Here is a 23,075-nt window from a genome sequence, read left to right as displayed (position 1 = left end):
CTACAGGGAGCAAGGTGCAAGCTAGACCTGAGACTTGGGGGAGATGGTGCCCCTCCTGACCCATGACCCTCTCTGGACACAGGCAACCTTCATCTAATGTGAATCAATTGGGCAGGATGCACACATACAGCTTGGGATAAATTTTTCTAGAGGCCCCTTAGCTTTCATTTCTCTCAAAGAAAACCACCTGAAGGGAGCAGGGAACCCTTCCAGCGGTGTGCTGCCGCTGGCTGATGCCATGCTCAGTGAAGTCATATTGGTTGCTTGAAATGGACTGTGGTGAAAGTATTAACACCGTGGAAATAGACAAGCTCTATAAGTCAGGACGTTTTTCTCCCAGGGAGACAGTTGTTAAACATTTACCAGCACATCAGCACGTGCTGGACCCATCTCTGCTGACCCTGACTTTCTCTCCTCAGTGAATGGGAAGGCCACGGTCACCATTGAGAGCTGCGCCCCGACGCTGTTCATGTTCATGCTCAATGGCAAGCAAGAGCATGGGCTGCTGAGCCTAAGGAAGAATGGGATGAAGTTGGAGGTGTACCCTCCAACCATGGGCACTCACAAGCTGCAGATCTTTGCCAAGGGCAACTCCGACATCTACAGCTCAGTGCTGGAGTACACGCTCAAGTGCAATTATGTGGACATGGGTGTCCAGCTGCCTGCTGAGCTTCACCAGCCCGTGGGCCCCAGCTGGTTCTCGGAGCAGATGGGCATCATGAAGCCCTCCCACCCTGACCCTATCATCCACACCAGCGACGGGCGCTGCTCCATCAGCTTCAGCGTGGAGGAGGGCATTAATGTCCTGGCTTCCCTCCACGGGGATGATGGCCCCATCACTGAGGAGACACAGCGGCGCTACATCTTCCAGCTGCACCGGGAGAAGCAGACCGAGCTGAAAGTCCAGCTGCCCCATGCAGGCAAGTTTGCCCTCAAGATCTTTGTCAAGAAGAGGCAGGAACCAGGAAACTACATCTTCGTCTTTAATTACCTTGTATGCTGTGCCAACACCAAGGTGAACTGGCCCATGTTCCCTGAGAGCTTTGGCAACTGGGGACAGGACAATGAGCTGCTGGAACCTCTGTCAGGTGTGCTTCCTGCCAACCGGAATGTCCCATTCAAATTGAAGCTGCATGGTATTGCCAAAGTCCTGGTGAAGGGGCAGGACACATGGCCCCTGACCCTGAACCACGAGGGCTACTGGGAGGGAAGCTGCAGCACAGCTGGCTGCCAGGAAGTCTATGTCATGGTGCTGGAGAATGCCAACCACAATTTCTACTCCTACATCCTGAAATACAAAGTGAATGCCCAGTGAGGGCTGTGCCCCGGTCTTACCCTCCCAAAGGGCCAAGGCCAGACCTCCCCAGGGAGGGCTCGAAGGAAGTGCAGGGAGCCCTGGACACCACTGAGTCTGCATGAAATCCCTTCTAGGCCTCTGCCTCAGTGTCCCACCTCTGCCACAGGAGCTGTGATCTTTGTGTTCTGAAGGCTTCACTCAGGTGTGGCTGTGACTGAGGGGGCAGAGGCAGTGGCTCTTTAGAAGGAAAAGGTGCTATGTAAATCTAAGGTATTGTAAACTGTACACCTGCATCCAGATGCCCCTTCTCGTATTAGTGCTGCTGCTGTTGTTGTTGCTGTAGGGTTGATGAGGGAAAGCAGGGATATTGCCCAGGTTGACAGCTTTTCACATGATGCTTAGAGAATTCTCTTCCATGCCCAAGGGGACATGATTTGCAAGGCTGGGTTGTCCTTGAATCACAGAGCCCCTTTCAAGCAATATCACCGTGCCTCTCGACAGCTCCGAGCCCCCAGGGAATCTTGGACTATCTTCTCCTCCCAGACCTGATCATCTTCTGCATCCTGCTGCCTCTTCATTAGCTACTTCTTGTTCTTCAAGAGCCCAAGAAAAAGGGTGTGGTGAGGAAGCCAGCTGACCCACAACTGGCTGGAAGCTGATCGTCTCCAACATCCCTAAGTATAGTCAGGAATGTGACAACCAGAAAGTTGTGAGGAGACTGCAAAGCAAAGAGCAGCCCATGCCCGCTGTGGCTGTGCAGGTGGGAGGGACACTGTCGGCAGAGCTGCAGCCTTGGTCTGAGGGTGTAAGACCTCCAGCTCTGCTCTGAGAGGAGTACACAGGGCAGGTAGTTCAGTCTAAGGCCTGGAGTGCCCTCCAGGCCCTCACAGAGCCTGGGCCTCAGGCCCCTGCCCCACCTCCACAGAGAGCCTCCAGAGGCTGGCCAGGCCCTTGGGGAGTCTTGTGGATAGCCCTGAATAAGGACCTGGGCGCAGATCAGGTGAGTAGTGCAGTGCGGCAATGCCGAGGAGACTCACACTTTAACAGGGCTCTGCCTGCCCCCAGTGTCTCTACCAGCAAAGCCAGGGCTGGGAAGAATTCCAGCTGCACGAGAGCAGCTTTTGTGCCTGTCTCGGAGAAAACATCCTATCCCGTCTCCTTTCCTCCCTTCTCTGAGAAGACAGCCCCCTCCAGTCTCACCTTGCATGGGGACAGCTCAGGGCTCCTTGCTTGCTCAGGCACAGACTGAGAGGCCTCAGCTGCCCAGCTGGCCCTCAGCAGCGCCTCAGGCTGCCGTTGCCATGGCAACGGAGGAAAGGCTGACTTCAGCGAGGGCAGATAAGAGGGAAAGGCGAGAGAGGCCCCACATGGCCACTGCAGAACCATCCTGGCACACAGACATGCTCCCTGCTGAACTCCCGGCTTCTCCAGCTCCGTGGCCCCTGGCTGTCTCAGTGCCCCCCAACCCCTGAGAGCCAGCACTGCCTGGCACCTCTCCCCACAGCCCCTCCACAGGCCTCCAGGCTCAACCACAGCCAGGGCCAGCTGGGACCCTCATAGCTTCCTCCGTGGCACTCACCCTCACATCCCTGTATCCAACAAATGCTCACAGAAGTACCAGATGCTTGGGCTACAGAGGTGAACCAAGGGGGCCCGGCCCCTGCCATCCAGAGTACAGGGTGAGGAAACTGCCAGGCAGCAGCAGCCTTCCCTGCCCAGGCCTGACTGAAGATCCAGGCTCCAGACACTTCTGTTCATTATCCCCCGGGATCCCTCCCCTAAAAGTCCCCACTGCCACCCAGCACGGTGGCCTAGCCCAGAACCAGCTCACAAGGGTGCCCATCATCCAACAGGCCGGCGGCCTCGAGCAAAAGGGGTGTCTCCCCTGGGGGGCTGAACTGTCCTGGGCAGGTCCTGCGCCCTCCGCAGTCTCTGCCACCGAGGCCACCCAGCCAGCCTCGTGTCACTCACACCTGAAAAATGCACAAAGGCCCCGGAGGCATAACAGCTATGCACCACCACAGGGAAACAAAGGGAGTTTTACACCCTGAAAACAGCCGTCTTGCACACTTCTGATTTTATGGGCTTAAAGAAATGTGTTTGTTTCATCAAAACAATAAGTGCCTTCGATGACGCATGTCACTCACTGGACCCCGCGCTGGCTGCCTCGCTTAGTCCTGCTGGAGACCCCCATACCTTTTCGATATGCAATATAATTAATCAATACATCCTGGAGCATTGCAGAGAATGCCACCCAGCAAAATAGGAGCTGTCCCCAGCACCAGAGAGGGAGGCCCCGCCCCTCAAAGCACCGCAGGGCATCAGCAAGCCCCTCCCTCTCGTTTAACTAGGCACCCCCTTTGTAAAGACAGCTGTAGGCGCAGTCAGAAAATCACCTGCATTTCTTTCCACTGAAGTAAAAATACATGAAATGAAATCTAATCTTCATGAATTTTTACACGCATGCTGCTCAGGGTAGACATTCGGAGTTGCATTTTGAAGGCTTTTCTTTAAATCCCCATCTTTGTTTCCCGGGCGACGAGTCCCAGTCGCCGGCGGAATGGCACGGGCGCCCCCAGGTGTCCGAAGTGCGGAGCTGCCGGCGCTGCACACCGCGAGGCTGATCTATCACCGGGCTTTTTCGCAGAACTTGAAAATGCTGTGGAAATGTTTATGTTAAAATCACTAGGTGCTTTCTCGTGGCTTCTCAGCGCTACCTTATGTGTACACGGAGGACATCTTTGTCACGCACAAGCTGTGAGGGCATCCTGGGGGACAACCTGGTGTGTTGAAAAGACAAGGGATGTGATGGGACTGTTTTGCCTGGAAATAACTTCTTGAAACAGAAGCACTTGACATAGGACTGGATGGAACAGCTGTGACTACACTCATTACTATACCATTGAAGGATTGGAACCGATCAAACTCAGAAAGTATCTGCTTGCAATTCTCAGGATGGCAGCCCCCAGGCCACAGGGCAGAAGGGAACCGAGGGTGGAGGAGTGGTGGGCAGAGGCACTACAACCACAACTTCAGTACACTTCTTTCCAGCTTGTTTCAGAAGTGCCATAGCTCAGCTGGACTCCATTTTCAATCTGATTATGATCATTGTGAGTTCCCCATATGTTACATTGTCCTACCAGGACAGCCTCCTCACTGCCTGCTAAGATTAAAAGTAAATAAATAGACTAACTGAAGCATGAAGGATTTCGGCTAGACATAAAGAACTATTTCCTGTTGTTAAGCAGGAGGGACAAGTTGCCAAGAAAGTTTGTGAAATCCTCTTCTCAAAGGACTTGAAAAGGAGAAAAGTTTTCCCAGTGGTCTGAGGTTTTAGATGCCATGTTCACTAGAAGGAGTGGGTTTTCTCCTCTCCAAACCAATTAATTCCTGAGATATCCTGGTCTGCCTGCAGCAAACAGAGGGTTAACAGCATCACTACATCATTTGCTATTGGCAAAATTTTCGAAGATGGTGTGCCTCTATTGCCCGCCTCAGTTTATCTTAGGTCTATAATTTCTTTTCATTTGGAGTAAGTAGTCGGCAATTGAAAGAGGTGATTACTTCTCATAATGTGTGCATTGAGTTGTGTGGGCCGGTGGCTGTTGAGTATGCTTTCTCCATGTTGTTGCTGGTGTTGTTTTTCAATAAAATTTATATTCATTTTTATCCAACAATGTAATTATCGATTCATTCTTATCATGTATCTCACAAGGTGGGAAATGGAGAGAAACAGGAAAAATGCTTTCATGTTCAAAGGAAGCCCTAGAAAAAAATCAATGTCCCAGCCAGTTGAATGCGACGGTGAGATGCGAATGGAATGTCAGGCAAATAGCTATTTCACATTAAAGAAAACATAATCAGGTTAGCTCCAGCCACTCTATGGTTCACATGCCTTTGAAGAACACGAAGGCACTGTTTCTTTCATTGAATCTTGTTTAACTTGAAAATTTTAAAGTCAATCCTAATTTATTTTTACAGTGGGAGAAAAAAAATTACCAAAAATGCCTATCAGCCTACTTTTCTTTTGAATGTATATAAATATGTACTTCTTGATATTCATATACATGCAGAAACTTTCCAGCCGGTCACCTAAGCAGATTATTCATAAACTAGACATTTAGAGAAATACAGAAAATGAAAAATCCAGACATTTCTGAGAAGCTGCTGTAACCATGGAGACCATTCTCGTAGCTGTAGTGTGAAGGACAAAAAGAACTTGTGTTCCCAAATCTGGCTTCGTCATGTCTCTCGCTGCTAGATCCACAAAAACGAGGCCCAGCATGCTTCTCCTTAGGAAGGAGACCCGGCAGCATATTAAGAGGAAGTCAGAAGAAACAGTCTTCCACACAAAAGAAGGAGTAGCTCTTGAGTTATTAGAACAGTCTGAAAATGCCATCCCCAAAGCTGGAGTGGATGACCTCCAATGTCCCTTCCAGTCCGGAGAGTTTGTGATGCCGTGTCTCTGTGAACAGATGCTGGCAGGCAGTGGGCCTGGGGTTGTCAGTTACAGAACATCTGAAGGGCCCTGCTGTGGAACATCTGAAGGGCCCTGCTGTGTTAAGAGCCTGCCCCTGGAGCCCCTGGCAGACTGCACTGCTGGCTCCTCTCTTGCCTGAGGGCAAGGGGCTGGAGAAAGCCCAGCAGAGGGACCAAAGGGGAAGAACAGCCTCTGACAGGATGCTGGTTCTGTCTGATTTTGCAAGCAGAACTAAAGGAAACTGAAAGTTAACGGGGATGTCCTCTTTGGGGTGTCCCACAGGCATCTCCGAGTCAAAAGATGCTAAACTGGAGTTACTTCTCTCCCTCAAATTACTCCCAACTCCTCCTGGGTCCCCAGTTCAGTAAATGCATCCCTATCCAACCAGATAACTAAGTTAGACTCATGGCAGTCACTGGTGATGAAACCCAGTCCCTTCTGGATGTGTCTCACCTCCCACCTGCTCTCCCAACTCCACCTTCTCTCCTTTCCCACGACCTGCTACAAACCAGGTCCTCATGATCTCAGCTATACTGTTTGTGTCTTATACTTTCCATGGGGAGATGAAGCCTCCCGGCCCTATTACTGTCCACAATGGCCTCCCATTCATATATTCTTATCACACTAGGACGATAGGGTTGTTAAGACAAGGTTTCCAAGAAATCCTTTCAGAACAATCTCACCATCTCTGGAAAGACATAATTGGTATTAGGCACTAGCGGGAAAGGCAGGTCTTCAACAAAAAACTGGTTTTTATAGGGAATCGGAAAGAAGCACTGTCTCCTTTTTCTCTAAAGAGACAAGGTGCCAAGGCCACCCAGTCAGCCTCGTGTCACTCATGCCCGAAAAATGCACAAAGGCCCCAGAGGCATAATAGTTATGCACCACCACAGGGAAACGAGGGGTGTTTTACACCCTGAAAACAGCCTTTTTGCACACCTTTGATTTTACGGGCTGAAAGAAATGTATTGTGTTTCATCAAAATAATAAGCACCTTCGATGATGCATGTCACTCGCTGGACCCCACACTGGCTGCCTCGGCCTACTTCACTACTGGGTGAGGGTATGCAGGGTGGCTCTTCGTACCACAGCCAGGCGGGGGACTCAATGGGGTGCAGAGGTGGAGCCCTACCTGCAGGTAAACAAGCTCCATCTTGAAGCCAGACTCTCCACATCCATGGCTTCCAGCTTATTTCCCTCCTGTCCTCCTGCACCAACAGCAGCACAGATCATATGTTCAGGTGGACCAGTTCTATTCCCAGGAGAACAGATGCTGAGACACAGTAGGAATGTAAACAGTGTGCTGGAGGCAATACCTGTGGAAGTTAAAAGGGAGGGGGGAAGCAGGATGAGTCAGAGAGAAGCTCAGACAATGGTGCAAGTCTGACCAAGTCCCAGCCAACCCAACAGGAAGTTCCAAAACAAAGATTTGTATTAGAAGAGTCTGGAGCTGTACAGAAATGGCCAGGCCCTAGAGAAACCATCATGCTCAGCCACTTGCTGGGGCTGCCTGGCAAGAGCTTGGCCTCAGTTCAAAAGCTCAGGCAGACCTTGAAGGTGCTAACACCTGGAGTCTCTCCGCGACCTGCACTCCTTGCAGAGAATCAGCAACTTCTTCCAGAAGGGAGACCTGTGCAGCACACACAAGTTAACTTGCCTATGCTATGGAGGGTTCAGGAAAGACTGGGTGAGGGTTCTGTGTGTGCAGTCAGCATACCCAAAGCCATCTGGGATCCAGCAATCACTGAAAAGTCTTCACAAGATGGTTTGTGGAAGGGACAGCGGCCTCTACATAGGAGAAATATGTACTCCAAGGGCCCACTTTCAAGGTGTTGTGGACTAATTTGATGAAAGGCAGCTTCTTTCTTATTTCTCCTTCTCTCCCTCTTGCCCCTGCCATCCAGGGAAGCCTCAACACAACAGCCAAGAGGATCGCTCCATGCTGCACTCTTACTTAAAACCGACCAATGGTTCCCCATTGCTCAGGGATGAGACTAGACCCCCACTCTGGCCTCACACTGCTTTCTCCACTTTGTCTCCCATCACTCTCCCTGAGAGCCCCTTAGAATCATCAACCATGTGACACCAGGCAGTCCATGTACCTCCCACCAGCGTGCTTTATACATGCTGTCCTTTCTAGCCAGGACGTCTTTTCCTGCCTGAGGAAGCCCTGCCTGGCCTTTGTGGATCAGGCCAGCCCACCACTCTGTCAGACCTTCCTAGTCCTCCCACTGCCCAAGCCATGGGGAATTATCTGCCTATCTTCCATGTTCATGTCACACTTTGTTGCTCATCTGTTAACCCAGAACCTTCTACAAGATTCTGGGATTCAGGAAGTACTTGGAGGTTCTGCCCCTAGGATGTGAATTCCTTGAATATATATGCTTTGGTTCTGCTCCTCGGCACACAGTAGGTGTTTGGTAAACGCTTGGCAAGTGTTTCACTGGGAAAACTAAGACAGACTAGGAAGACAGGGCCAGGAAAGTACTACTGCCTAGCAGTCCATAACCATCCACTGAGCATTTGTCAAAGCATGTTCCCATTTCACCAGGTCTAGCCCTTGTGTTTTTGCCCAACTCTGTATGCCACATACTGGACATTGAGGAGGGGAACCCAAGATTCTCTCAGAGGAGGGCCACATCCTGGGGAGGGCTGGGAATGTGGGGTGAAGTAACCACCCTGGAGGAGGCTGAGGATGCAGCTAACAGTGGTCTTCAAAGGAAGAGGCCCTTTACCAAGTCCAGCATCTAAAAGAGGACACATACTGACTACTTGGAAGATAGAACAAGTCCTGAAAGTAGGACTTGGTCTTGACTAGAGAAGGATGGCCACCCTGCCTGTAAAGGTGGGTAGCAGAGGGTTGTCAGGCATTCTTTGGCTGTGAACAGTTTTAATGGAATTTTCTTTCCTTTATCTAGATTTGTTCCCGCTCCAAATTTTCCCCATGGCCCTGTTTGAAGATTATATAACCTAAGCTTGATGCTTCTATTTAACCCAGAGTGACATAAAAATTTAGCTGAGGGCACCTGCTGATCCCATTCCCACCCACCCACCCAGAGACCAACAAACAAACCTTTCCACGGGAAAGCTTCTAAAGCCCCAGAAGAACCTGTTTTCTCGGGAAAGAGCTGCAAAATGGCAAATATAGCTATTTAGGATCTAAAGGCATTAACATCTTCTACAGCAAAGCCTGAGTATGTGGGGCTGTCTTGAAGACCGTTGATATATTGGAAAGTAATGCTCCAGGGAACACTCAAACTCATGGTTTCTTTGAGCACAGTTGTCCTCAAGGCTGATCCTCTGAAGAGGAGCCCCTGCAGGATGAAGTGTAAAAAAGACAAAGCACCACGAAGTGGTATCCAGTGGTATCCAGTGTATCCAGTGGCAAAGCCAAGCCATGAAGGATTGAGAATGAGAAGGCCACCTAGACAGGGCCCACCAAGAGATTCCCTCTCTCCAATTAAACCAGCACTCTAGATGTTTAGTCATCATTGCCAGGGGTACTGGGTTTAGACAGATTCTGAGGCCACAACTGGGTTCACTAGGAAAGAGTGTCATGACTAGCTAGTGATCCATAGACAATGGATTGAAGGGTGAGGTGTGCCATGTATTTGCCAATCCCAGCTTAAAGGTAGCTAAATCAGGGCTCAGACCAAAATAATGAAGGAGACTGTTTAGTCCGTTCTCACACTGCTAATAAAGACATACCCGAGACTGGGTAATTTATAAAGGAAAAAGATTTAATTGACTCACAGTTCAGCATGGCTGGGGAGGCCTCAGGAAACTTAACAATCATGTCAGAAGGGGAAGAAAACACATACTTCTTCTCATGGCGGCAGCAAGGAAAAGTGCTGAGCAAAAGGGGGAAACACCCCTTATAAAATCATCAGATCTTGTGAGAACTCACTCACTATCACGAGAACAGCATGAGAGTAACCACCCCCATGATTAAATTACCTCCCACTTGGTCCCTCCCATGACACGTGGAGATTATGGAAACTACAATTCAAGATGACATTTGGTTGGGGACACAGCCAAACCATATCAGAGGCTATTCAGACCAGTGGGGAGCACTGGCTTCCCATTAAGCTAGCCCATGGACTGACAACCAGTCAGCTTTCAAACCAAAGGTCCCAGGATGTGCTGGGGGCCTCCTGACCTCACCTGAGCTCCAGGAGGATTCCACGCAACATGCATGCCACCCAGCTCAGAGGACACAAATGCACACAGGCATATCAACTCTAGGGAGAAGGAGCCTAGGCTGAGTGTGTTTGCTCTTTTATCTCCATGATTAAACAGTGCCTTGCATTTAGAATAAGTGATCAGTAAATTTTTGAAGTGAACATTGCCTTGTCATTTCAAAAACAAAATGATAGATCTCTGGGTTGTTTACATGGCTGTTGACCAAAACAGCTGTTGAGTTACAACATCCTAAATAGTCATTTCCTTCTTTTGCTCAACTAGGAAAGCATATGCACAGCAGTGTACTCCTTTGCCCCTGTGGGAAATGTATATTTACAAGAGGAGAAAAATTGCCACCTGGCTGGGAGTGCTCATGGTGTTTGCCTCTGGGAAACAATCAGTGCATGGGCAACCAATCAATGGGAGGAGTGCCGTTCTTCTCGGGGGAATCCGCCCGCCCTGAGCATGTGCCGAGATTGCTTTGTTTCTATCAGGGGGAATGGCTGACTGCCTCTGTGACACAACGAATCAGCCATCATTTCGCCCTGGCTGTGCAGGGACCAAGGCAGTGACGTCCCCCTTTATGGTGGCAGGGGCAGCTATGGAGAGGCTGGTGGCATGAGGGCAGAGGGGCAGCCACAACTGTGAGTACACAAGAACAGCTGGGCTGAATGACTGACGAAGTGCAGATATTAGGAGTGGGGAGCCCCTGGCAGCTCCCATCTGGGTAAAGGATGGTGGTGAGGAAAAATGAGGAAGCGTTTATTTAGAACAAAATGACGGTGGGATTACAGATTTCCTAGTGAACACTTTGCTCATATTTATATTTGTATTTGAATGTATGTGAACACCAAGGAGATCTGGAAATTAACATCCACCATTTTATTCTATTTAAAAAGTTAAATGAAGCCAAGATACTGGCAGCACTTGAAGGCTGTCCCCTCCTCCTATGCCCTTTGGGATAGCCCCACCCTAGGGACTGGGCAAGTGTGGGTACCATGAACCTTTTGGCATTCATTTCATGAGTATCAGATCCCCTTCTCCATCTCCCAGGAGCAACACAGTGGAGAGAACACGTTAACCTGATTGTGGGAGGGCATCCACTCTGGCAGTGAAAGCTTCACTTGACATTTTTAAAGCTCAACAAGAGTGTTAAAGTCTATCTTTAAAAGAAGTGAATGGGCTTCCTCTGGAAAGATGGCCTCTTAGCCACTGGTCCCCTGTTAGACTGAAATCTGTCTTGTGTGGTCAGGAGCCATTAATGTGTGATTGAAGCCTCGAGTTTTCCTCTATACACATTGATTTCACTTGGAGAAGCCCTGTGGACCCCTCCTCCTCCTCAGCGTTGGCAGTCATGAGCCTGGGGAAGCCTGTGGCTCAGCCCCTGTTTGACAGCAGGTAGGAGAGTGTGCCAGCTAAGAGCACACACCTGGAGCTGACCGCCTGATTCCTAACCCCAGTTCTGCCAGCTCCCAGCTGATTTGTGCAAGTTACTGAACCTCCCTGTTTTTGTTTCCTCATCAGTAAAACAGGGATACTCATAGCACCTACTGTGTACACTTCTTATGGGGATTAAATGAGCTAACATATGGTACAATGACTAGAAAAGTCCCGGGCACATAGTAAGTACTCAGTAATTATTGGCTACCATCACGATGCATCAGTCATCATCAGCATAATGAGGATGACACTGATGTATTGTTCCCTAAGGAATCCAAAAGTCTCAAGCCCCTCATAAAATTGTGGCAATCACTGATTTCAATGCAGAAATCCCATATCCAAGACGCAATCACCCAGTCTTTCCTAGAATCCTTCCAGGGACCAGGAGCTCTCCACTCCATGAGGCAGCTGTCCATTACTGGACACCTATGTTAAGGCCTTACCTATACAAAACTGCCTTAAATTAGGGCAGCTGAGCCAATCCACCCACTGGGCTCAGTGAGTTGTCTATTATATGATGGGACAACCATGTAGTGGGAGCCCGGAATCACCAGTACAAAGCCTGGCTCTAGTCTGAGGGTTCCGGGGACTAGGTAGGAGCAACTGCAATATACTCAGACACGGAAGGGAGCCAAAAGAGCAGATGAAAAGAAAAAGAAAACCTTCCACTCGAGAGAGCTGTAAATCAACATACGAAACCACATGAAGAAAATTAATAGTTAAAAAAATTAATGAATTGTTTTCAAAAATACAATCTGCATACTGAATGGTGAGACCACCTCAAACCCTGATGTTATTTAACTCCCCAAACCTGGCTGGCTGACTTTTGTCCTCAAAGCAAAAACTGGAGGGTATCACTGAGAAAACAGATCAACCTAAGAAAAAAGGCCTACAGGTACCATCTGTAACCACCACCCCAGTGAAAAGACCAGCACCCCATTTGCCCATCTTTGGGAAGCCAGTCAGTCAGTTCCTCCATACACACACACACACACACACACACACACACACACACACACACACACCAGTTTGCAGATGGCATTTGTGGTTGTTTGAAAAAATGTCCATGAATTCTTTGGTGCTCCTACATTCAAAAGGAAGAGCCTAATTCCCATCCTTTTATGTGCAGGCCATACTTAGTGACTCTCTTCTGACAAATAGAATGTCGCAGAAATGATGGTGTGTGACACTCAAAACTAGGATATAAAAGGCATTATAGCCTCCTCCTTATTCTCTCCAGATCACTTGCTCTCAGCAAAGCCAGCTGCTAGTTGTAAAGATGCTCGAGCAGCCTCTGGAGAGGCCCACATTTTGAGGAACTGAGTGAGTCCTCCTGCCAACAGCCATGTGAGTGAGCTATCTTGGAAGCAGCTCCTGTGAGGATTTTGCAGCCCTGGTGAGCTTCTTGACTGGAACCTCATGAAAGACCCAGAGCCAAAACCACCCACTTTAGCCATTCCTAAATTCCTGACCCTGAAAAATTGTAAGGTCACAGAAAACTTATTATTTGAAGCTGCTAAATCTGGGGGTAATTTGTTACACAGCCGTAGATAGCTAATAGAGCATTTTAGTATCTCAGTCTGGTTTTATTTTATTTTATTTTTTGGGGGGACAGGGTCTGGCTCTGGCTCTGTTGCCCAAGCTAAAGTGTAGTGGCATGATCTCAGCTCACTGCAACCTCTGCCTCCCAGGCTTAAGCCACCTTCCCACCTCAGCCTCCCAAGTAGCTGGAACTACAGGCATGTACCACCACACCCGACCAATTTTTTTTGTTTTTTTTGTTGTTTTTGTTTGTTTGTTTTGTAGAGATGGTGTCTCACTTTGTTGCCCAGGCTGGTCTTGAACTCCTGAGCTCAAGCACTCCACCCACCTCGGCCTCCCAAAGTGCTGGGATTACAGGCATGAGCCATTGTGCCTGTCCTGTATCTCAATATTAAAAAGGACTTTGAGAAGACTTCCAAAGATCCCCAGACCTGAGGAAAATGTCTGACCTACAGGAGCTCCACAAAGAGAATCATAACAACAGCAAACACTGTCACCATGCCTAGCTTGCGCCAGAATCTGCTGAGGATTAAATTATTAAAGACATAATTCAATGAATTTCCCAGGATTGTGGGACACTCACAGAGCAGTGAATGAAAACAGACCCACTCTAAGGCTTGTGATTATGAATTTCAGATCACTAGAGACAAACAGGTCTTCCAGAGAAGAAATAAAGCAAGTCACTTGCAACAGATGAGGAATCAGAATGACTTCACACTAGCAATGCTGGAAGTGAGGAAACAGTGGTGACATACCTTCAACATTCTGCAGAATAATTTCCTACCTACAGTTTTATCCTCAGTTAAAATCTCAATCAAGGGTGAGAGTAGAATAAGAACATTTAGAAACATTCAAGGTCTCAGAGAAAATCTGCCTCTCATGAGCCATCTCTCTGGTGGAGTGCTCCACCCAGTGAGGGACAGAGACCAAGAAAGAGGTCTGCTTGGAACCAGGAAGCTCCTTCACAAAGAAGAGACAAAGGGAATTCCTAAGAGGATAGTAATGGGATGTGTCTGGAGAACAGCTGTGCAGTGAGCAGGATGAACACAGTCCAGACAGGAGCAGGGCAGACCTGTCCAGGAGGTATGTCATAGGAAAAAATAAAATGAGACTGATAAAGTGGTTACCTGATGTAGCTGACTTTATTGAGGGAATTGTATAGTGCCATTAAGGACTTTGGAGGACCATCTGGTGAAAGGTATGCAAAAAACTAAGCAAATGCTAGCTCCATGAGGAAAAGTTGTACAAAGAAAGTAAATGTAATTGTAGTGTACTGTATGTTGACATTTACATGGCCATAATAATGTAAATGCCAAGTATTGATGTGTTGTTAGGCACTGTGTTTGGACGTCTGAGAGCTATTCCAGCCCCATTCTTCCTTTCCCATCTTCCACTCTAGAGTGAGCAAATTCCCGCTTTCTCTTAGTAATGCTTGGTAGATTTTTGTGGAGTCTTGAACATCTTTTATTAGATATGTTTCTGGGTATTTGCAGGTATATTTTTGATAATGTGGTAAATGATATAAATTTTTAATTTAATTTTCTAATTGCTTATTTCTAATGAGTAGAAATAGAACTATTGTCATGCATTGACCTAGTATCCAATTATCTTACTAAATTTACTAATTAATTCTAATCATTTATAGGGAGGTCCTTTTGGATTTTCTACACACACAATCATGTTGCCTGTGAATAATTATTTTTTTCAACTTCTGTTTTAGGTTAAGGGGTATATGTACAGGTTTTTTATGTAGGTAAATTGAGTGTCATGGTGGTTTGGCAATGTACAGATTATTTTGTCGCCCAGGTGATAAGCATAGTACCCAATAGGTGTTTCGATCCTCACCCTCCTCCCACCCTCCATCCTCAAGTAGGCCCCAGTGTCTGTTGTTCCCTTCTTTGTGCTCAATCTTTAGCTCCCACATATAAGTGATAACATGTGATATTTGGTTTTCTGTTCCTATGTTAGTTCACTTAGGATAATAGCCTCCAGCTCCATCCATGTTTCTGAAAAGACATGATTTGATGCTTTTTTATGGCTTCATAGTATTCCATGGTGTATATGTACCACATTTTCTTTATTCAGTCTACCATTGATGAGTATTTAGGTTGATTCCATGCCTTTGCTATTGTGAATAGTGCTATAATGAACATACGCATGCATGTGTCTTTATGGTAGAAAAGTTAATATCCCTTTGGGGATATACCCAACAATGAGATTGCTGGGTCGAATGGTATTTCTGTTTTAAGTTCTTTGAGAAATCACCAAATTGCTTTCCATAATGGCTGAAATAATTTATATTCCCACCAGCAGTGTATAAGCATTCCCTTTCCTCCACACCCTTGCCAATATGTTTTTTTTTTGACATTTTAATAATAGCCATTCTGACTGGTATGAAGTGATGAATAAGTAATTTTTCTTCTCTGTCATTCTACCTTTTATTTCTTTTCCTGATCTGATTGTGCTGGGTAGAAGTTATGATGGTAGTAGGTATTATTTTCTTGTTCCCAATCTCAGGGAGAAAGTGCTCAATATTTCACTATTCCAGATGATGTTAAACAAAACTTGCATGCTTGGAATAAACTCAGCTTGGTCATAATAGATTATTCTTTTTATATATCACTTCTTATATATCATTTGATATGGTCATAATTTGTTTAGGGCTTTAACATCTATATTCATAAGAGAGTCTGTACTTGTCTTTTTTTGAAATGTCCTTGTCAGATTTGGTTTCAAGGTTATGCTGGTCTTATAAAATGAGAAGAGAATTATTTCCCCTTTTGTCATTCTCTGAAAGAGTTTGTTGTATAGGCTTACTTCTTCCTTAAATATTTGGAAACATTCACTGATGAAGCCATCTGAGCCTGATACTTTTGTTGTAGGAAGTTTTTCAATTAAGGATCAGTTTTAAAATTATTTATGACTCTTCAGATTTTCTAATTCTTCTTGTGTCCATTTTGTATGATGAGTTTTTAAAAGAATGTATCCATTGTGTTTAAATGTTTACAGCTGTTGGCAAGGAGTTATTGATGCCTTTTTGTTACTGTCTGTAAGATCTGCACTTGTTTGCTTTTTATTATTTTTATTCCTGATATTTGTAATTTGTATCTTTACATTTTTTTCTTGATAAGTCTAGTCAGAGGTTCAATCAATCTTATTAGCCTTTTTAAAGAACTAACTTTTGATTTTGTTGTTTTCTCTATTGAACATTCATTTTCTAATTCATTAATTGCTACTCCTTATGTCTTCCTTCCATTTTCTTGACGTTTAGTTTGCTCTTTCTTACCTTTTTAAAATAAGTATTTAGATCATTTACTTTCTCAATGCTTTTCTTTTTTAAAATATAAATTTAAAGCTACCAGTTTCCCAGCGAGCACAACTTCAATTGCACACCAAGAGTGTAGTCATTTCATGATCATTCAGTTCAAAATATTCTCTACTTTCAATTGTGATTTATTTCTTTCACCCAAGTGTATTTACAAGTGTATTGCCTAATTTCCGAACACTTAGATATTTTTTTTAAATACCATCTAAAATGTATTTCTAGTTTAATTCTACTCAGTCAAGGATTATATTATTTTATTCATTTGAATTTGTTGAGCATTTGTGTCTCAACATATGTTTAATATTAGTTTTATTTTCATTTATTTATTTATTTATTTTTGAGATAGAGTCTTGTTCTGTCACCCAGCCTGGAGTGCAGCCGCACTGTCTCAGCTCACTGCAACCTCTATCCCCCTCAAGTGATTCTCCTGCCTCAGCCTCCTGAGTAGCTGAGATTACAGGTACGTGCCACCACACCCAGCTGATTTCTGTATTTTTAGTAGAGACGGGGTTTTGCCATGTTGGTCAGGCTGGTCTCGAACTCCTGGCCTCAAATGATCGCCCACATTGGCCTCCCAAAGTGCTGGAATTACAGACGTCATCACCATGCTCAGCCAATATTAGTTTTACTTGTATTTGAAGAGGGACATATTCTGACATTTTGGGGTGGAATCTTCTTCATATGTCCATTAATTCAAGTTTGTTAGTCTTGTTTCTCAAATCTCTTACATCTTTACTTAGGTTTACTGAGAGAGATGTATTAAAAACATCCATTTCCTTTTTTTTTTTTTTATAGGGGGGTCCATTCCAAGATGGCCAAATAGGAACAGCTCCAGTCTGTAGCTCCCAGCGTGATCGATGGAGAAGACAGGTGATTTCTGCATTTCCAGGTGAGCTCCAAAGAGAGCAGTGGTTCTCCCAGCATGGTGTTTGAGCTCTGAGAACAGACAGACTGCCTCCTCAAGTGGGTTCCTGACCCCTGTGTAGCCTAACAGAGAGACACCTCCCAGTAGGGGCCGACAGACACCTCATACAGGCAGGTGCCCCTCTGGGATGAAGCTTCCGGGGGAAGGATCAGGCAGCAATATTTGCTGTTCTGCAGCCTCCGCTGGTGATACCCAGGCAAACAGCGTCTGGAGTGGACCTCCAGCAAACTCCAACAGACCTGCAGCTGAGAGACCTGACTGTTAGAAGGAAAACTAATAAACAGGAAGGAATAACATCAACATCAACAAAAAGGACATCCACACCAAAACCCCATATGTAGGTCACCAACATCAAAGACCAAAGGTAGATAAAACCACAAAGATGGGGAGAAACCAGAGCAGAAAAGCTGAAAATTCTAAAAACTAGAGCACCTCTTCTCCTCCAAAGGATCAGAGCTCCTCGCCAGCAACGGAAAAAAACTGGACAGAGAATGACTTTGACGAGTTGACAGAAGTAGGCTTCAGAAGGTCAGTCATAACAGACTTCTCTGAGCGAACGAAGCATGTTCTAACCCATCGCAAGGAAGCTAAAAACCTTGAAAAAAGGTTAGACGAATGGCTAACTAGAATAAACAGCATAGAGAAGACATTAAATGACCTGATGGAGCTGAAAACCATGGCACGAGAACTTCGTGATGCATGCACAACCTTCAATAGCCAATTCGATCAAGTGGAAGAAAGGATATCAGTGATTGAAGATCAAATTAATGAAATAAAGCAAGAAGATAAGATTAGAGAAAAAAGAGTAAAAAGAAACAAACAAAGCCTACAAGAAATATGGGACTATGTGAAAAGACCAAATCTATGTTTGATTGGTGTACCTGAAAGTGACGAGGAGAATGGAACCAAGTTCGAAAACACTCTTCAGGATATTATACAGGAGAACTTCCCCAACCTAGCAAGGCAGGCCAACATTCAAATTCAGGAAATACAGAGAACACCACAGAGATACTCCTCGAGAAGAGCAACCCCAAGACCAATAATTGTCAGATTCATCAAGGTTGAAATGAAGGAAAAAATGTTAAAGGCAGCCAGAGAGAAAAGTTGGGTTACCACAAAGGGAAGCCCATCAGACTAACAGCAGATCTCTCAGCAAAAACCCTACAAGCCAGAAGAGAGTGGGGCCAATATTCAACATTCTTAAAGAAAACAATTTCCAACCCAGAATTTCATTTCCAGCCAAACTAAGCTTCATAAGTGAAGGAGAAATAAAATCCTTTACAGACAAGCAAATGCTGAGAGATTTTGTCACCACCAGGCCTGCCTTACAAGAGCTCCTGAAGGAAGCACTAAACATGGAAAGGAACAACTGGTACCAGCCACTGCAAAAACATGCCAAATTGTAAAGACCATCGATGCTATAAAGAAACTGCATCAATTAACGGGCAAAATTACCAGCTAACATTATAATGACAAGATCAAATTCACACATAACAATATTAACCTTAAGTGTAAATGGGCTAAATGCCCCAATTAAAAGTCACAGACTGGAAAATTAGATAGTCAAGACCCATCAGTGTGCTGTATTCAGGAGATCCATCTCACATGCAGAGACACACATAGGCTCAAAATAAAGGGATGGAGGAAGATCTACTAAGCAAATAGAAAGCAAAAAAAAGCAGGAGTTGCAATCCTAGTCTCTGATAAGACAGACTTTAAGGCAACAAAGATCTAAAGAGACAAAGAAGGCCATTACATAATGGTAAAGGGATCAATTCAACAAGAAGAGCTAATTAACTATCCTAAATATATATGCACCCAATACAGGAGCACCCAGATTCATAAAGCAAGTCCTTAGAGACCTACAAAGAGACTTAGACTCCCACACAATAATAATGGGAGACTTTAACAACCTTCTGTCAATATTGGACAGATCAACGAGATAGAAGGTTAACAAGGATATCCAGGACTTGAACTCAGCTCTGCACCAAGCAGACCTAATAGACATCTACAGAACTCTCCACCCCAAATCAACAGAATATACATTCTTCTCAGCACCACATCGCACTTATTCTAAAATTGACCACATAATTGGAAGTAAAGCACTCCTCAGCAAATGTAAGAGAACAGAAATCACAACAAACTATCTCTCAGACTACAATGCAATCAAATTAGAACTCAGGATTAAGGAACTCACTCAACTACATGGAAACAACTACATGGAAACTGAACAACTTGCTCCTGAATGACTAGTGGGTAAATGACAAAATGAAGGCAGAAATAAAGATGTTCTTTGAAACCAATGAGAACAAAGACACAACATACCAGAATCTCTGGGACACATTCAAAGCAGTGTGTAGAGGGAAATTTATAGCACTAAATGCCCACAAGAGAAGGCAGGAAAGATCTAAAATTGACACCCTAACATCACAATTAAAAGAACTAGAGAAGCAAGAGCAAACACATTCAAAAGCTAGCAGAAGGCAAGAAATAACTAAGATCAGAGCAAAACTGAAGGAGATAGGGACACAAAAATCCCTTCAAAAAATCAATGAATCCAGGAGCTGGTTTTTTGAAAAGGTCAACAAAATTGATAGACCACTAGCAAGACTAATAAAGAAGAAGAGAGGAATCAAATAGACGCAATTAAAAATGATAAAGGGGATATCACCACCAATCCCACAGAAATACAAACTACCGTGAGAGAATACTATAAACACCTCCATGCAAAAAAAAAAAAAAAAAACCCTAGAAAATCTAGAAGAAATGGATAAATTCCTGGACACATACACCCTCCCAAGACTAAACCAGGAAGAAGTTGAATCTCTGAATAGACCAATAACAGGCTCTGGAACTGAGGCAAAAATTAATAGCCTACCAACCAAAAAAAGTCCAGGACCAGATGGATTCACAGCCGAATTCAACCAGAGGTACAAAGAGGAGCTGGTACCATTTCTTCTGAAACTATTCCAATCAATAGAAAAAGAGGGGATCCTCCCTAACTCATTTTATGAGGCCAGCATCATCCTGATACCAAAGCCTGGCAGAGACATAATAAGAAAGAGGGAATTTTAAACCAATATCCCTGATAAACACTGGTGCAAAAATCCTCAATAAAATACTGGCAAACCGAATCTAGCAGCACATCAAAAAGCTTATGTGCCATGATCAAGTTGGCTTCATCCCTGGGATTCAAGACTGGTTCAACATATGCAAATCAACAAATGTAATCCATCACATAAACAGAACCAACGACAAAAACCACATGATTATCTCAATAGATGCAGAAAAGGCCTTGGACAAATTTCAACACCAGTTCATGCTAAAAACTCTCAATAAATTAGGTATTGATGGAACATATCTCAAAATAGTAAGAGCTATTTATGAGAAACCCACAGCCGATACCATACTGAATGGGCAAAAATTGGAGGCATTCCCTTTGCAAACTGGCACAAGACAAGGATGCCCTCTCTCACCACTCCTATTCAATATGGTGTTGGAAGTTCTGGCCAGGGCAATCAGGCAAGAGAAAGAAATAAAGGGTATTCAATTAGGAAAAGAGGAAGTCAAATTGTCCCTGTTTGCAGATGACATGATTGCATATTTAGAAAACCCCATCATCTCAACCCAAAAACTCCTTAAGCTGATAAGCAACTTCAACAAAGTCTCAGGATACAAAATCAATGTGCAAAAATCACAAGCATTCCTATACACCAACAACAGACAGAGAGCCAAATCATGAGTGAACTCCCATTCACAATTGCTACAAAGAGAATAAGATACCTAGGAATCCAACTTACAAGGGATGTGAAGGACCTCTTCAAGGAGAACTACAAACCTCTGCTCAACGAAATAAAAGAGGACACAAACAAATGGAAGAACATTCCATACTCATGGATAGGAGGAATCAATATTGTGAAAATGACCATACTGCCCAAGGTAATTTATAGATTCAATGCCATCCCCATCAAGCTACCAATGACTTTCTTCACAGAATTGGAAAAAAATACTCTAAAGTTCATATGGAACCAAAAAAGAGCCCTCATAGCCAAGACAATCCTAAGCAAAAAGAACAAAGCTGGAGGTATCACTCTACCTGACTTCAAACTATACTACAAGGCTACAGTAACCAAAACAGCATGGTACTGGTACCAAAACAGATATATAGACCAATGGAACAGAACAGAGCCCTCAGAAATAATACCACACATCTACAACTATCTGATCTTTGACAAACCTGAAAAAAACAAGAAATGGGGAAAGGATTCCCTATTTAATAAATGGTGCTGGGAAAACTGGCTAGCCATATGTAGAAAGCTGAAACTGGATCCCTTCCTTACACCTTAGACAAAAATTAATTCAAGATGGATTAAAGACTTAAATGTTAGACCTAAAACCATAAAAACCCTAGAAGAAAACTTAGGCAATACCATTCAGGACATAGGCATGGGCAAAGGCCTCATGTCTAAAACACCAAAAACAATGGCAACAAAAGCCAAAATAGAAAAATGGGATCTAATTAAACTAAAGAGCTTCTGCACAGCAAAAGAAACTACCATCAGAGTCAACAGGCAACCTATAGAATGGGAGAAAAATTTTGCAACCTACTCATCTGACAAAGGGCTAATATCCAGAATCTACAAAGAACTTACACAAATTTACAAGAAAAAAACAAACAACCCCATCAAAAAGTGGGCAAAGGATATGAACAGACACTTCTCAAAAGAAGACATTTATGCAGCCAAAAGACACATGAATAAATGCTCATCATCACTGGTCATCAGAGAAATGCAAATCAAAACCACAATGAGATACCATCTCACACCAGTTAGAATGGCAATCATTAAAAAGTCAGGAAACAACAGATGCTGGAGAGGATGTGGAGAAATAGAAGTGCCTTTACATTGTTGGTGGGAGTGTAAATTAGTTCAAACATTGTGGAAGACAGTGTGGTGATTCCTCAAGGGTCTAGAACTAGAAATACCATTTGACCCAGCAATCCCATTATTGGGTATATACCCAAAGGATTATAAATCATGCTACTATAAAGACTCATGCACACATATGTTTATTGTGGCACTATTCACAATAACAAAGACTTGGAACCAACCCAATGTCCATCAATGATAGACTGGATTAAGAAAATGTGGGACATGTACACCATGGAATACTATGCAGCCATAAAAAAGGATGTGTTCATGTCCTTTGCAGGGACATGGATGAAGCTGGAAACCATCATTCTCAGCAAACTATCACAAGGACAGAGAACCAAACATTACATGTTCTCACTCTTGGGTGGGAGTTGAACAGAGGGAACACTTGGACACAGGCTGGGGAACATCACACACTGGGGCCTGTAGGGGAATGGGGGACTGGGGGAGGGATAGCATTAGGAGAAATACCTAATGTAAATGATGAGTTGATGGGTGCAGCAAACCAACATGGCACATGTATACCTATGTGGCAGATCTGCACGTTGTGCACATCTACCCTAGAACTTAAAGTATAATTTTTTAAAAAACCCATCCACTGTAGTTATAATTTCCTTTTCCTTCTATTTCTGCCAGTTTTTTTCCCTGAGGCTATATTATTAGTGGCATATAATTTAGAATTTTATATCTTCTGACAGATGGACACTTTATCATCATTAAATCTCTCCTTTTTTATTTGATCATGCTTTTTATCTTAAAGTCTGCTATTTCTATTTCTGGTTTAAAAAAATGTTTTCGGCCGGGCGCGGTGGCTCACGCCTGTAATCCCAGCACTTTGGGAGGCCGAGGCGGGCGGATCACGAGGTCAGGAGATCGAGACCATCCTGGCTAACACGGTGAAACCCCGTCTCTACTAAAAATACAACAAATTAGCCGGGCGTGGTAGCGGGCGC

The 23,075-nt window shown here is 44.7% G+C and overlaps 2 protein-coding genes across 11 annotated transcripts in view, besides 1 other annotated feature; one reads left to right on the top strand and one right to left on the bottom strand.

The window, feature by feature from the left end:
• KY (kyphoscoliosis peptidase) overlaps positions 1-4,971 on the top strand; it is a 51,100-nt gene extending 46,129 nt beyond the window's left edge. For all 3 annotated transcript variants that reach the window (NM_001350859.2, NM_178554.6, NM_001366276.1), the window contains one exon: positions 420-4,971. In NM_001350859.2, the coding sequence (NP_001337788.1) occupies positions 420-1,315 (896 nt within the window). In that variant the 3' untranslated portion in view covers positions 1,316-4,971. The remainder of the gene's footprint in view (positions 1-419) is intronic.
• CEP63 (centrosomal protein 63) overlaps positions 1-23,075 on the bottom strand; it is a 296,836-nt gene that overhangs the window by 177,666 nt on the left and 96,095 nt on the right. For all 8 annotated transcript variants that reach the window (XR_007095732.1, XR_002959589.2, XR_007095733.1 and 5 more), the window contains one exon: positions 6,910-7,093. The gene's annotated coding sequence lies outside the window, so the exon portion shown is untranslated. The remainder of the gene's footprint in view (positions 1-6,909; positions 7,094-23,075) is intronic.
• Positions 533-827: a silencer, noted in NCBI's record as "tiled region #9743; HepG2 Repressive non-DNase unmatched - State 21:Repr, and K562 Repressive non-DNase unmatched - State 22:ReprW". NCBI's record gives its function as "represses a minimal TATA promoter and a strong SV40 promoter by Sharpr-MPRA in HepG2 and K562 cells {active_cell/tissue: HepG2 | K562}" and the evidence as "EXISTENCE:reporter gene assay evidence [ECO:0000049][PMID:27701403]".

The sequence above is a fragment of the Homo sapiens genome, chromosome 3 (assembly GCF_000001405.40).
Source record: "Homo sapiens chromosome 3, GRCh38.p14 Primary Assembly".
Taxonomy (NCBI): Eukaryota; Metazoa; Chordata; class Mammalia; order Primates; family Hominidae; genus Homo; species Homo sapiens.
This window is presented reverse-complemented; position numbering and strand designations above follow the sequence as displayed.